Source organism: Homo sapiens, chromosome 19, assembly GCF_000001405.40.
Source record: "Homo sapiens chromosome 19, GRCh38.p14 Primary Assembly".
Classification (NCBI taxonomy): Eukaryota; Metazoa; Chordata; class Mammalia; order Primates; family Hominidae; genus Homo; species Homo sapiens.
In genome coordinates this window covers 33,543,768-33,558,192 of record NC_000019.10, presented here as the reverse complement: position 1 = coordinate 33,558,192, position 14,425 = coordinate 33,543,768, and the positions used below count along the sequence as shown (strand labels likewise).

The following is a 14,425-nucleotide window of genomic DNA, read 5'->3' as shown; positions in this document are numbered from 1 at the left end:
AATGCCCACCTTCCCTGGGAAGCTCCGTTTTCTTAGTACAAGGGGAAATCAAATCAGATGTTCTGTATTCCTATCGGTATGGATTTAGATGATGGAATCGAAAGTTTGCATTATCACCTATCCAGCTGTGCTCAGATGAGATTTCCAGTCACACAAAGCATGGATACACCACACAGAACGAAATCCCACAGCGACCATGGGAGGAGAAAGCCCTGCGGTTGCGGCTCCGACAGGAGGATGTCATGTCTCCAAGTTCATTCTCCATAAGCTGAACCTGTGCCCAGTGGGCACCCGCAGATGGCAAACCTCTGCCAGTGCTGAACGTCTGCCATGTGTTCTTACCCCATGAGCCTTGGCGAGAGCGAGCTCCCTTTTCTCCCTCCCCACCCATAAGGTCAACTCGCCCCCATCTTAGCTGAGGCTTCTCCTTGTTTAGGCACTTCCGATATTTGGTTCTAAGTTTCTCATTTACCATTAAAGCAATTATCAGCTAAAAATGCTCTGCACCCTACAACAATGCAACCAGAGGATAGAAGCCTATTTGAAGTTATAAATAACTCCCTTTCTCCTGCCACTTGTTTGCAGTGCTGTATAAATCTTGAGGTGTGTGAATTTCATCATTATGAATGTTCTTTAAAATGTAATAAAACTTTTTTCATTAAAAAAGTCAGCCAATGAAGATCAGCCCCGCACGCACCCTCAGACGGAGGCCCGCAATATTTGCATTGCAGAACAACTGTAATTTTATTCATGGGTTGGCATAGCCTCAGCCCATCGGTAATTAAACACGGAACAGCTGTCACTCTGCCCCATCCTAGGGAGACAGGACGGAATAATGAGCCCCTATCGATGGGCTTGGTGGTAGGGGGCCTGCATAGATGGAGGGGCGGTGGCTGGCACAGGGAGGGGGCTGGCGTGGGTAGGGGCTGGCATGAGTGTGGGATCTCTGGGCCTGGGCCCAGAGCTGTACCTGGCTCACTGATTCCAGACTTCCCTTCTGGCTTCTATGGGAAGAGGGAACAATGCATATGTTTCCCAAAGGCCATGTGGGACCTAGCAGAGGTGGGCTGGGGGTTGTGGGGGAGACTGGGGAGTACCTTCAGCTTCCACCTTGAACCCTTCTGTGCTGTTTGAAACATGTTAACAAGAAAGCAGGGATTACTTCTGTAACTCACAGAGCTAATTTTAAAAAGGGTTGGGTGCTGAGCAGTGGCAGCAGAGGGAAGGAGGGGACCCTGGACCTGCCAGAGCTCCTGCTGGACTCATGAGGACCTGGAGAGAGAGGTCCCAAAACTCTGATATCCCAGCCAGAAGGGGCATTGAAGACCTTCAGACCTGATGCCCCGTTTTTCAGATGAGAACTCTGGAGGGCTGGGGAGGTGCAGTGGTTTGGAGGAGTCATTGGCTAGAGCCTGGCGCAGTCCACATGTCTGGGTTCCGGACCCCTACAGCCCACAGTGTGACCTGGAGCAGACACATCTCCAGGCTCCTGGGCCTCAGTTTCCTCCTGCAAACAAGGAGTGGAGATTCAGCGTGTGTGGGGGTCGGGTGGGTGCCTTTAGGGCTGGCAGCACAGAGGTGCTGGGAGCAGTCTTCCCAGAGCCCCTTTTGGGCTGGACCTATTCGTTTCCTGGGGGGCCCAGAAGGGGAGCCTGGGGGTGACCCAGTCTGCTGTCTGTCTGTCCCTCCCACAGCCCCCATCTGGACTCCCCTTGTACCTCCCTGGCCCCCAGTCTGCATAACAGCTTCTCTGACCACCTCTCAGCAACCTTCCCTCCATCCCTGCTTCTTTTAGGGTTTCCAGGTTATCTGTACCACACCACCAGCACCAGCAGGGGACAGGGGCTTTCTCCCAGAGCCCCTGAGGATCCCAGATCAGGGGTCCAAGGACAAGACCTCAGGGCTCTGTGTCCCTGCAGGCCCAGCTCCCCGCCCACTGCTCAAGGCTGCCTACCCTCAAGGTGTGCCATGGAACATGTGACATCCATGCCAGCCCTCTTAAGGGACACTTCCATCCTTACCTAGGCATCCCACTGGGTCTGGAGGCCAAGGGTGGGGGTGGCCTCCTCCACGAAGGTTTCTTGGCTTATCTGGGACCACAGAGCACTTGATATGGTTAGGATTTGTGTCCCCACCCAAGTCTCATCTTGAATTATAATCCTTATATCCCCATGTGTCACAGGAGAGACCAGGTGGAGGTAATTGAATCATGAGGGCAGCTTCCCCATGCTGTTCTCGTGATAGTGAGTGAGTTCTCACGAGACCTGATGGTTTTATAAGGCGCTCTTCCTCTTGGGCTCTGCACTTCTTCCTGCTGCCTTGTGAAGGAGGTGTCTTGCTTCCCCTTTGCCTTCTGCCATGATTGTAAGTTTCCTGAGGCCTCCCTAACCATGCTGAACTGTGAGTCATTAAACCTCTTTCCTTTATAAATTACCCAGTCTCAGGCAGTTTTTAATAGCAGCATGAAAACGGACTAATGAAGCTCTCTTGTTTTTCTTGAGTCAGGGAAGAGCTGAGCAGATCTGGCCAGCCAGGTGATGGGCAAGACACAAAAGGGCCTCCCTCCGTGGGGCTGTGCTGGAGGAAGTGGCTCAGTGACACTGGGGTGGGGAGGGGAGGTCTTCTGGGAATGGATTGGCATGTACGGACTGTAGTGTCTAAGATCTAATAGACCCATGTCCTGTACCTACTGTGACAATGGGGAGCGGGGCATGCAGTGCTTTGGGTGGGGCACTGCCCATCCTAGTTGTGCAGAGCATGGTGGGAAAGGTCGAGAGGGCCTGTCTGTGTGGTGGCCCTATGGAAGGATGGGATGAGGGGTTCCTGGAGGGAGGGGTGATGGCTGGGAATCCCTAAGGCCATCACTGGGGGAAGGGGGTCTGCCAGGTCATTTCAGGGAGAGGAAGGGGTGTGCCCACTATCAGGCTGTTCCCTCTAGGACTCAAAGAAGGGGGCATGTAACCCAGACCCAGAGGCAGGGGGCACCTCTATCACACCCATTGTCATACACATGTTGAGAGCAGGGCTTGGCTGTGTCAGGTGCCCGGGATCTGACTTTCTCCCTGTGACCGTGAGGGTTTTATGTCCTGCTGGTCCTGATGTCCTCTGCACCGTCATGTCTGGGCCTGTGAAGGTGGCAAGATTTTCAAAGTCATCTGTGGAACATAAGCTCTAATGACAGAAAAGAATGTTTGAAATCAGGGGACCTCTGCTGAGGCTCCTGGGGCCGGGCAGAGAATGTCCTACAAGATGGGTGGCACCAATGTTTATAAGGACCTTCAGGACTGGTGAGAGCGCAGCCACACAGGAGCAGGCAATCTCCCGGCTAACAACACTCAGTACATGGGATGCGTGGATCCTGAGAAACACCATGGGGCATCGACGGACGCACCTCTGCTCTGCTATAGGCAGAAGAGGCAAGTATTTTGGTTCATGTGAGAGCATGCATGAGAGTGTGGACATGTGTAGGAGTGTGTGTGTGTGTGTGTGTAAGTGTACACAATGTGAGTATGCATGTGTATGACCATGCCGATGTGAGCAATTATGCATATGTGAGAGTGTGCGTGGGTGTGAACATGCCCCTGTGAGAGTGTGCATGTGTGCAATTGTGCACATGTGAGAGTGTGTGTGGATGTGAGCACGCACATGTGTGTATGTGTGACAAGCCCATGTGAGAGTGTGCGTGGGTATGAGCACGCACATATGTGTGTATGTGTGGCATGCCCATGTGAAAGTGTGCGTGTGTGTGTGCGTGTGCATATGTGTACATGTGAGTGTGTGCAACTGGGCGAGTTTGCACGTCTCCACTAAACTGTGCAGTCAGGAGGGCCTGGGGACCCAACAGCCAGCTGAATGTTTCAGCCCCAGCGCTCTTTTCAGCCCTTTCCCTATTAGTGGACTCATGGGACAAGCCTCCAGGAGTGGAAGGTGTCATTCCCACAAGGTAGACCTGGGGGCTATCCCTGAGGCCCGTGCTGCTATCTAAGACTAAGATGGTTTGAAGCCAGTGAAGAGAAGGCTTTCTTGGGTGCAGAACCACAAGGCCCTCACCACCCGCTAGCAGCTTTAACAGCTGTGGCTTCCGGGTGAAGGCTGCCGTAGGAGAGAAAACCTGCTCAGAGCGGGTGGGAGTTTGGATCCGCTTTTGGTCTTCAGTGCCCGGTGTTGGTGTGGTGCTGGTGGATGTGCAGGCCAGACACAGCTCAGCTCCAAAGGTAGGGCCCCAGGGGGATTTGCCTGGGAACACTGAGGCATCCAACAGCTCAGCAAAGAGCTGGGGCGATCGCTAAGAGGAAGGAGCCAAGTTGGGCACCAGAGCACCCCGCGATCGAGGCTCTCCCGCCCATAGTCAGATCCTACTGTGCTGGAGCTATGGCCGCTGCTCTTCCCCCTCCCTAGCCCCTCCTCACTTCCCTAGCTCCTTCCTTCCAGCCTGAGCTATTTGGGGAGGAACAATGCAGAACTGGTTTGGGCACAGTACGGGACCCTGGCTGAGCAGGAGGGGCCCTGATGGAAGAAGGCAAGGAGGCATTGCTGAGCCAGCAGGAACCGTGCTTCTGCCACCTATAAGCATGTGGGGGCAGGGCCTCCTTCTGGGCTGGGACATTGCCTGGTAACCTCTCCCTGTCTCCTCTGCCCACACCTTATACCAGCGACAGCATCCAGTGCTCCACAATGCTCCTGACGACGGCCATGGCTGCTGTTTATTGAGTGGTTAACTCTGTCCAAGTCCTGTGCTTGGTGCTATACACCAAGATATCTCTACTATACACAGATAATGACGAGGCATAACAGACCACGGGAGTGATTACTCTCTCCCTTTAGAGGTGGGGAAACAAGCCTGCGGGACTCATAGAAATAGAACTCTTGGTCACAGTCCTACAGCTACAGCAGGTTTAAGCCAAAATGGGATGTATTGGCTCATATATCCAAAAACTCTGGGAGCAGCCCCAGCTCCAGGTTCAGAATCTCAAATGATGCCACAAGGACCCTGTCCCATCCACATCTCTCTTCTAGGGTCTTCTCTACACTAGCCCCATTCTCCAGTGCCCACATGGGGCAAGATGGCAGCCTGCGGCTCGGGATCCCCAACCGTTCGGGAGTCCATCTGGGGCATGTGCAATGTCATTGGCTCTGATTGGGTCATGTGCTTAGCCCTGAACCAATCACCATGGCTGGAGAATGTGATGCTCTGATTGGTCAACCCCAGAGTTTTTGGGACAGTCAGCTGTTCAGAAGCAGGAGGACAAAGGCAGGAGGTCCCCAGAGAAGAACAGAAGAAGGTCAGTGACTGCATGCTGGATGGCAGGGCACAGACACCCACCACAAAGGCCAGAGCTGAGCCAGACTCCAGAGCCCCCCTCCATCTCTTCCCAACCTCCCTACGGCGCTTTGGGGTCGCTGGGCTGGCATGGCTGTCCCAAAATTTTTAAGACATGCCCACTGAAAAGTCCCTGACCGAGCCTCAGGCCTTGGGGACTGCATCTGTCAACATCACCTCTGCCCGAGATTTGGGGGAGGTGGAGGGTGCTGAAGGCAGGGATGGGGCCACTCCCACACAGGCTCTTCAAGTTGGGGCCCTGGGGAACCCAATCAAATTGTCACTGCAGTTATATAACATAAATATATGGGCTGTAATTATTTTTAAAAATATACCAATAAAATTGTCTCTGATTATTTTAGTCACAATACAAATCGCTTCAATTAGAGCAGAAATAGGGCGCGGGTTTATGGCTTCCCATGAATCTGAGAGTAACCTCGGCTCGGAGGTGGAAAAGCCGGCAGCTCCCTCTCGGCCCTCCGATGAATCCTGCGGCAAAATGGCCCCGAATCTAGTATGGAAGCAGCAGGCTGGAAGGAGGGAGAGGGGAAGCTGTCTGGGTCATGCGTGCAAGGCCTTGATGCCAACAGCTGGTTCCAGGCCTGTTGGGACAGGAGAGATCTCCAGGTTCACGGGAAGGCGTGATGTGGGATTGGGAACCCTGAACCCCTCATTGGTCCACACCCTCCCTATGTAGCCCCTGTCTCTCCCTCTGTAGTGGCATGAGTGGCCTGAGACTCTAGGGCCTAGAAGAGCCCCACTCAGGATGGAGCCTCTCTCCACCTCTCCTGGGCCTTCGGCTGTGGCCTGGTCCACCCAGTGCTCCCAGCCAGCAGCATCCAGGTTCCCCTTTATAAGATGGCAATTTCCACCTGCCGAGAAAGGGAGCCCAGTTGAGCCCTGAAATCCAGTCAACGCCCCAGTTACCAATGGGGAAACTGAGACACCAAGCAGAAGCATAGTTCAGGTCACACAACAAAGGAGCTGCAGACCAGAGAAGACTCCAGGCTCTGCCTCCCAGCCCTAGGAAGCCCCGGGAGAGGGTGGGGACAGAGGTCACTCTGTGGCCAACAGCCAGGCCCTCACCATCCTCCTGTCTTGCCCTACCCTTCTGCCCCAAGCTCTTCACAATGCTGAGACCCTCAAGAGCCCTACTGAGCCCCCTCTGCCCGGTCAGGGCCAAGGAGACCTCGGCAGACAGCCATCTCGCAAGTCTAGTTTGTGAGTTGGGCTCAGCCAATTAGATCGTGCTGTGGTCTGGATGTTCAGTCACTCCCCTCCAAATTCATATGTTGAAACCTAATCACCAATGTAATGGTGTTAGAAATGAGGCCTGTGGGAGGTGAATGGGATGAGTGCCCATATAAAAGAGGCTCCAAAGAGCTCCCTGGCCCCTTCCACCATATAAGGCACCACCTTCTACCAGAAAACGGGCTCTCACCAGACACCGAATCTGCCTGGGCCTTGATCTTGGACTTCCCAGCCTCCAGAACTGTGAAAAATAAATTTCTGTTGTTTATAAGCCACCTAGCTTAAGGCATTTTGTTATAGCAGCCCACACAGACTAAGACAGGTCCCCTTCCCCAGGGCCCACAGCCATGCTCTGTTCTCTGATGCTTTCCAGCCTGGAGTGTCATGACCTGCAGGAGACGCTCATCCCTCCCACCGTGGTGGTTTTGGAACACACTGCTGGCAACATCATTTGTCCAGGGACCCCCACTAGGGGAAAACAGCACTAAGGCCCAAGCCTCTCAGAGCCAGTACTACATAGGAGGTGCCCCCACACTTCCCAAGCTCACGGTGACCATGTGGCTTTGCTAAGAGAGCTGGCTGCAATATTCCTCTAGGCAGCTGGAGAGGAAGTCCCCTCCCTGTCCCTTCAGGCATGCACACAGGGGTATGGCAATGCGCCTCAGCCCTACCACACCTCCTCTACTGCCCGGGCTGGAGGGCAGTGGCATGATCTCGGCTCACTGAAACCTCTGCCTCCCAGGTTCAAGCAATTCTCCTGCCTTAGTCTCCTGAATAGCTGGAACTGCAGGCACACACCAACACACCCAGCTAATTTTTATAGTTTTAGTAGAGACAGGGTTTCGCCAGGCTAGCCAGCCTGGCCTCAAGTGATCCACCTGCCTCAGCCTCCTGTAGTGCTGGGATTACAGACGTGAGCCACCGCGCCCAGCCTGCACCTCCTCTTTTTGAGGAACATAAGCATTTTTCTGGCAAACACCAGTGAAAATGTTTTTGGAATTATTTTCCCATTGGAATTGCAATAAAAACACGGGTAAAGTTGGAGAGAACTTGAATCTTCACGCTAGCGGGTTTTCCCATCCGGGGAAGAACCATTTCTCTCTAACGAGGCACGTCTTTTTGCCCTTTTTATGGTTTTCTCTTTTTCTTTGTATGGGTCTGGCCTATTTCATGTTAAGCTGGTGTCATTTATCACTTTATTGATGCTGTGAATGAGGCCTTTTCCACTTTATTTTCCAGTCAGCTCGTCCCTGGCATGCAGGAAGCTATGGGTCTTTATCAGGCCACTTTTCCAGGCTTTCTTAGCAGTTCTGTTTTGCAATGAATTCTCTTGGACTTTCTGGGTAAATATAAACATTCTCTGCCAAGAATGATAATATTGTCTCTTGCTTTCTAATCTTTGGACTGTTTTTCGTTGTCTTTATTTCCAGTTGTACTGTCTTGGCCAAGTACCCTTGTTTAAGACATGTGGGGAGAGGGGTCACCTCCAGCTGCTCATGAGGCCCCCAAGAGCCCTCTGCACACCTGCAAGTCTCCTGCTGCAGCGTTCCCAAAAGCTCTTGTCTTTAGAACATTCTCAATCCAGGGCTGGGCATGGTGGCTTACGCCTGTAATCCCAGCACTTTAGGAGGCCAAGGCGGGCAGATCACCTGAGGCCAGGAGTATGAGACCAGCCTGGCCAACATGGCAAAACCCCATCTCTACTGAAAATACAAAAATTAGCTGGGAGTGGTGTTGGGCGCCTGTAGTCCCAGCTACTCGGGAGGCTGAGGCAGGAGAATCGCTTGGAGCCGGGTGGCGGAGGTTGCAGTGAGCTGAGATTGTACCATTGCACTCCAGCATGGGTGACAAAGCGAGACTCCGTCTCAAAAAAAAAAAAAAAAAGATCCTACCGAGGGCTGGTGGAAACACAGTCCCCGCCCCCCACAGTGGTGCTGTCTCCCCTTCCATCCAGCAAGCGTTTACTGAGCACCCACCACCGGACACACCCAGGACGACACCTGGGGATCCAAGGAAGACTGGGTGAGCATGGAGGAGAAGACTCATTGGTGCAGCAAGATGAACTTGTGCATGTGAGTGAGCAACTGGGGGATGGGGGTGGGGCACCGAGCTGAAAGGTGAACATGGCCCTTCCCGCTTGGCTCTACAGAGAGGGAAACAATGTAAGGGACAGATAGGAATCCCTGGTGGATGAGACAGGAGGAGCGTGCCGGTGAACCGCAGCCTGGAGGTGTGGAGGAACATGCCGCCCAAGTTCCTAAATCCAGCCAGCGCAGGATTTGAGGCTGGGGAGGAGAGGACACGAGGCTGGTGGCAGATGTGGGCTTGGCAGGGAGGCCTGAGACAAAGCGCTTAAATGTATCTGGAGGATGAGGGACTAAGGCATATGTACAAAAGGTCACTGCTATTCCTGGGATGGTGGGGGAGAGGGGCTGGAGCTGAGAACATCCTGGAGGATCAGAGAGAAATGGGCCTTTCCCAGATGAGAAGACTCGCTATTGTAAAGATTCAAGTTCTCTCCAAATTTATCTGTGGGTTTTTTTTTTTTTTTTTTTTTTTTTGAGATGGAGTCTCACTCTGTTGCCCAGGCTGGAGGGCAGTGGCGCTGTTTCAACTTCTGCCTCCCGGGTTCAAACGATTCTCCTGCCTCAGCCTCCCAAGTAACTGGGATTACAGGCACCTGCCACCACACCTGGCTAATTTTTGTATTTTTAGTAGAGATGGGGTTTTCATCACAACAAAATTAATGGCATTTTTTTTCCTCCTGACCCCAGGGAAGGGAGAAAATGGGCAACTCGCCAACTCCCACTCCCTACCTGCCCCCATCCCTGCTGTGGCTTCAGCTATACCCAGGCCTCCAGAGCAGAGGAGGGTAGAATAGATACCAAGGGCAATTTTCTACTCAGATAAACCATCATCATGAAATTGCATCACATACTGGTGACATTGAAAATAAAATTGTTTAATTTCTAATTTGGGGTAAACAAAAAGTTAAGGTGGCTTGCGTTGCAACGGTAGCAACATCCGGCAGGGTGCAGTGGCTCATGCCTGTAATCCCAGCACTTTGGGAGGCCGAGGCGGGTGGATCACAAGGTCAGGAATTCAAGACCAGCCTGGCCAAGATGGTGAAACCCCGTCTCTTCTAAAAATACAAAAATTAGCTGGGCGCAGTGGCAGGCGCCTGTAATCCCAGCTATTCGGGAGGCTGGGGTAGCTCGAACCTGGGAGACGGAGGTTGCAGTGAGCCAAGATCTCGCCACTGCACTCTAGCCTGGGTGATAGAGCAAGATTCCGTCTAAAAAAAAAAACAAAAACAGTAGCGACATCCACATTTTAGCAGCTGCTGGGAGGATGTCTCCTGGCTCTCAAAGCCCTTTCTGCCTTCTCTGGAAATGTACCCAAGACTCGGCCAGGCCCTGGCCGCAGCACCTGTGATTCAGAACTGGCCAAGTGGATTTTCTCTTCCAGGAACCAGAGGTGGTGAAGTTGAGTGCCTTATTCATGGCCAGTCCCAGGGAGAGGAAAACCCCAAAACTCCAGCCTCCAGGCCAGTCTGATTTTGTTCAGCAGTCTCTCTGGTCCAGAGAGCCAACTTCTCGGTGTTTGTTGGTCTGGAGCTGCCCACCATCCATTCCTTCTTGTTGGTGCCCTGATTGACCTGTGGGAATCACTACTCCCATGTTCTCAGTCTATGAGCTGCAGGTGGAGCTGCCCCGTCCACCTGGGCAGCAGCCTGTGACCCAGGGCCTCTGCCCATGAGAACACTGCTCTCCCGTGGCCACCAGGATTGGCCCTGAGGTGGGCATGTGCCTCTGGTCACATAGTCAGGCCTCATGAAGACTAATCCCAGGGCTTTTTTTTTTTTTTTTGAAATGGAGTCTCACTCTGTCACCCAGGCTGGAGTGCAATGGTGTGATCTCAGCTCACTGCAGCCTCCACCTCCTGAGTTCAAGCGATTCTTCTGCCTCAGCTTCCCGAGTAGCTGGGGCTACAGCGCCCGCCACCACGCCTGGCTAATTTTTGTTTTTTGTTTTTTTTTTAGTAAAAACGGGTTTTACCATGTTGGCCAGGCTGATCCCAAACTCCTGACCTCAGATGATCCACCCACCTCGGCCTCCCAAAGTGCTGGGATTAAAGGCTAAGCCACTGCACCTGGCCCTAGCCCAGGGCTTTTGTCTGAGCAACTTGGAGTAATCGTCTGCCATGTCCAAGTGGACCTGCACTTGGACAGGTGTAAGCAACCACTCTGCCACCATGAAGAGCCTAGGAAAGTCGTCCACAGAGTCAGCCAGAGCCCAGAGATTGTGCCTGAATCCAGCCCCACCTGAGGCCAGCCTGCCCTGGACAGGGGTCTACTCAGCCCGGGTGAATCGGGTGTTCTGCTCCTTGGCACTCCAAGAAACCTCCCCACAAACAGCATCTTTCCAGTAAACCCACCTCCACTCTTCTGGCTTAAGTGAATCCAAAGCAGTTTCTGTTGCCCAGCAGAAGAGCTGGCTCCAGAAGCCAAAAGGATAAGAACAGGGAGACCCAGCTCTAGGAGAGCCACAGATCTGGGGTTGTGACCAGTTCAGGGATGGATAAACCCAGCATTGGCCTTTTGCAGTGGGGACAGGAAGTGGAATCGCTTAAGCTGGATCCAGGGATGGGCCTGGGCATAGAAGGTTTGGGGGCCAGGTGGCTTGAGCTGGGCCTTGGTGGCATTTGGATGGGGGAAGAAGTACAGGTGTGGGAAGCCAAGCAGGCAGGACTAATTGGGTCCAGAGGCCTGGGCTGAGCAGAAGTGGACACGGTCTGGCGAGCAGGCTGGGGAGGTTGGTTTTGACACCAAGAAAATAGGACATCCCTGCAGTATGATTTACGCCGGATGGTGGATCATTGATTTAGGGTTTCTGACAGGTGTGCTATTCTGAAACTTGACAGAGAGAAACATTAAGTCCAGGAGTTCCCATTTTGCATCAAGCAATCGTATTTCTCTCCGCCTGGTCAATTCTACAGCCAAAGCACTTTTGTCCCCTGGAGGGAGTTAGGATGGATTTGAATTAACCAGGAAGTTCCTTGACTGCTATTTTAGAACTCCTCTCTGCTACCTGGCCTGACATAATAATTACCTGCCTGTGATTTATCTCAGGCAGATTATGAGTGATGATAGGGTTTGGGGTGATAATTGAGTGTATCCAGCACCCTACCTCCTCCCTTGTGATTCAAGCTGAAGCAGCCGTCATTGTCCCTCTGGGACACTTGTATGCACTGCTGCTGCACCAAGAGAGGGTTATGGAACGAGATGGGCATTTGGCAGCAACTTTCCACTGCAGCCAGCCCTATGGGAATCTCTCCAGTTGGGCCACTTGTAAGTCATCCTTTCGACTGTCTGGGGTCACCCAGGGCCATCTGTCTGTCACCACAGAGGTGATCCTCAGCATTCCACACCGCTGTGGTGACAGACAGATGGTCCTGGGTGACCCCAGACAGACAGGGGACCTGGAAGGTGCGGGAAACACTGTGGACTTTTGATGAATCCCTGCCAGAATTGAAGCTGCCACATTGAAGTGGCTTCTCTACCCAAGAGTTTCCTGAGATTTGGAAAGACTGAAGCATGACATGGGCTGTCCCTACTCATGTTTCCCAGGGACAGGAGCTTTGGCCGGGGCTCAGCAGGGACCTGGGCACTCTGTCAGGCCACCTTGTCACTGTCCCTGGAGGATGGAAGGGAAACATGTCCCAGAGTCCTGCCCAGCAGTAGCAAAGGGCATCTTAGCAGCCAAGAGTCACTCTGGGGCTGACAGGAGCATGGCATTGGGATCAGATGCTCCCATGCCAGCCTGGCTCTGCCATGTGCCAGCCATGTGCCTTTGGGAGGGTCATTGACATTTCTGGACTCTGGCATCTGCATCTGTGAAATGGATCATGAGGCTGCCATGAAGGTGCTCAGGCCTCCCTTCTAGAATTGCTGTTGAGGTGCAAGGAGCGTTCCAGCTGAATGAAGCCAGGCTCCTCCCAGGCATTCGTCAACCAGCGACTGTGCATGGCAGGGGGCCCAGGACCTGGCCATTTGTGCCTAACCTGGACTCCTCTTGTGGGCACTTTCTACTGCGGAGCTCCCCAATAGGTTGGCTGAAACTTTGTGAGCTTTCATTAGTGTCTGGGGCTCTCCCTGCCCAATCACTTCCTCCCCTGTTATCTTCCATAGACTTTACCCCTAGTAAACCTGTTGCATCTCCAACCCCATCTCAGTACCTGCTTCCTGGGGGCCCCTACTGACACAGATGACCATATGCCTTCCTCTGGGAGCTGTAGCAAGGAAGAAACAAGATACCATAAATGAAGATGCCGGGGCGGGATGGACAACTCCAGGGGGCGCTGCCTGGAGCTGCACCTTGCACTTGTCCAGATGCCTTTCGGGGGTCCCACGCTGTGCGAGCTGAGTTGGAATCTGAGCCACAGCACTTCCTTTCTTCTGTATCAGAGACTATGATGTCCCAGTGCCAGGAATTCCATGAGCAAGGGTACACACATGTGTCCCCAGCAGCAACCGGTCTCGGCTCCAGGTCCTCCAAGCCTTGGTCATGCGGGGTCTTGCTTTGTAGAGAGACTAGTGCATGCTCAGACACACCTGCCAGCTGCGTGGGCATCCAGAAGCCAGGAACTCCCAAGGAGAGATATCCTCAATGCTGTCACAGTTTCCTTCTACACACAGGAGGCTTGCCCCCTGCACATGCATCTGCTGAGGGAGCCCAGTGCCCCCAAGCCTTGAACCCTGGGGTCTGGCTGCGCTGGAGGTGGGTGGTTGGATGGGGGAGCTTGGCTTGTTGGTGCTGATGGTCTGTTGGTGCACCAGGGCCATAGGATACAGAGTGGGGCATGAGTGGGTGTATTTCTGAACCAAGTAGTTGGAGACCTAGACTCTGCCCAGATTCTACCACCAGCTTCCTGTGTGAACTTAGGAAAGACATCATTAGTTCAGCTTGGCCTTGGCACATTTACCCATAAAATGGGTATAATGCCGTCTCAGTTCCAGGGTTCTCGGAGCTGGATGTGGGCTGGGGGGTAGCAGCTCCCAGGCTGGGGCTGGACTGCAGGATGGCTGAACATAGTAGCCACATGCCTCAAGTTTCTACCAGCCTGCAAGGGAGTGAAAGGAAAGAACAAAGAATTGGCCAGGTGTGGTGGCTGACGCCTGTAATCCCAGCACTTTGGGAGGCTGAGGCAGGTGAATCACGAGGTCAGGAGTTTGAGATCAGCCTGGCCAACATAGTGAAACGCTGTCTCTCCTAAAAATACAAAAAATTAGCTGGGCATAGTGGCAGGCGCCTGTAATCCCAGCTACTCGGGAGGATGAGGCAGGAGAATAGCTTGAACCTGGGAGGTGGAGGTTGCAGCGAGCTGAGATCTCGCCACTGCATTCCAGCCCAGGTGACAGAGTGAGACTCCGTCTCAAAATAAATAAATAAATTAATTAATTAATTAATAGAAGGCTGGGCGCGGTGGCTCAGCCTGTAATCCTAGCACTTTGGGAGGCCGAGGCGGGTGGATCACGAGGTCAGGAAATCGAGACCATCCTAACATGGTGAAACCCCGTCTCTACTAAAAATACAAAAAATTAGCCGGGCATGGTGGGACGCACCTGTAGTCCCAGCTACTTGGGAGGCTGAAGCAGAAGAATAGATTGAACCCGGGAGGCAGAGGTTGCAGTGAGCCGAGATCACGCCACTGCACTCCAGCCTGGGCAACAGAGCAAGACTCTGTCTCACAAAAAAAAGAAAGAAAGAAAGAAAGAAAGAAAGAAAGAAAGAAAGAAGGAAGGAAGGAAGGAAGGAAGGAAGGAAGGAAGGAAGGAAGGAAGGAAGGAAAGAA

The 14,425-nt window shown here is 53.0% G+C and overlaps 1 long non-coding RNA gene across 2 annotated transcripts; it reads right to left on the bottom strand.

The window, feature by feature from the left end:
• Positions 1–717: 717 nt before the first annotated feature.
• LOC100996681 (uncharacterized) lies at positions 718–5,105 on the bottom strand. Of its 2 annotated transcripts, none has more exons than XR_158931.5 (3): positions 4,643–5,105; positions 2,022–3,125; positions 718–1,507 (listed from the first exon to the last, which is right to left on the bottom strand). It is a non-coding gene; the product is annotated as an uncharacterized LOC100996681 (long non-coding RNA). The 2 variants fall into 2 exon arrangements; XR_935920.3 differs by having other exon boundaries at positions 3,009–3,125; positions 4,643–5,083.
• Positions 5,106–14,425: the final 9,320 nt, after the last annotated feature.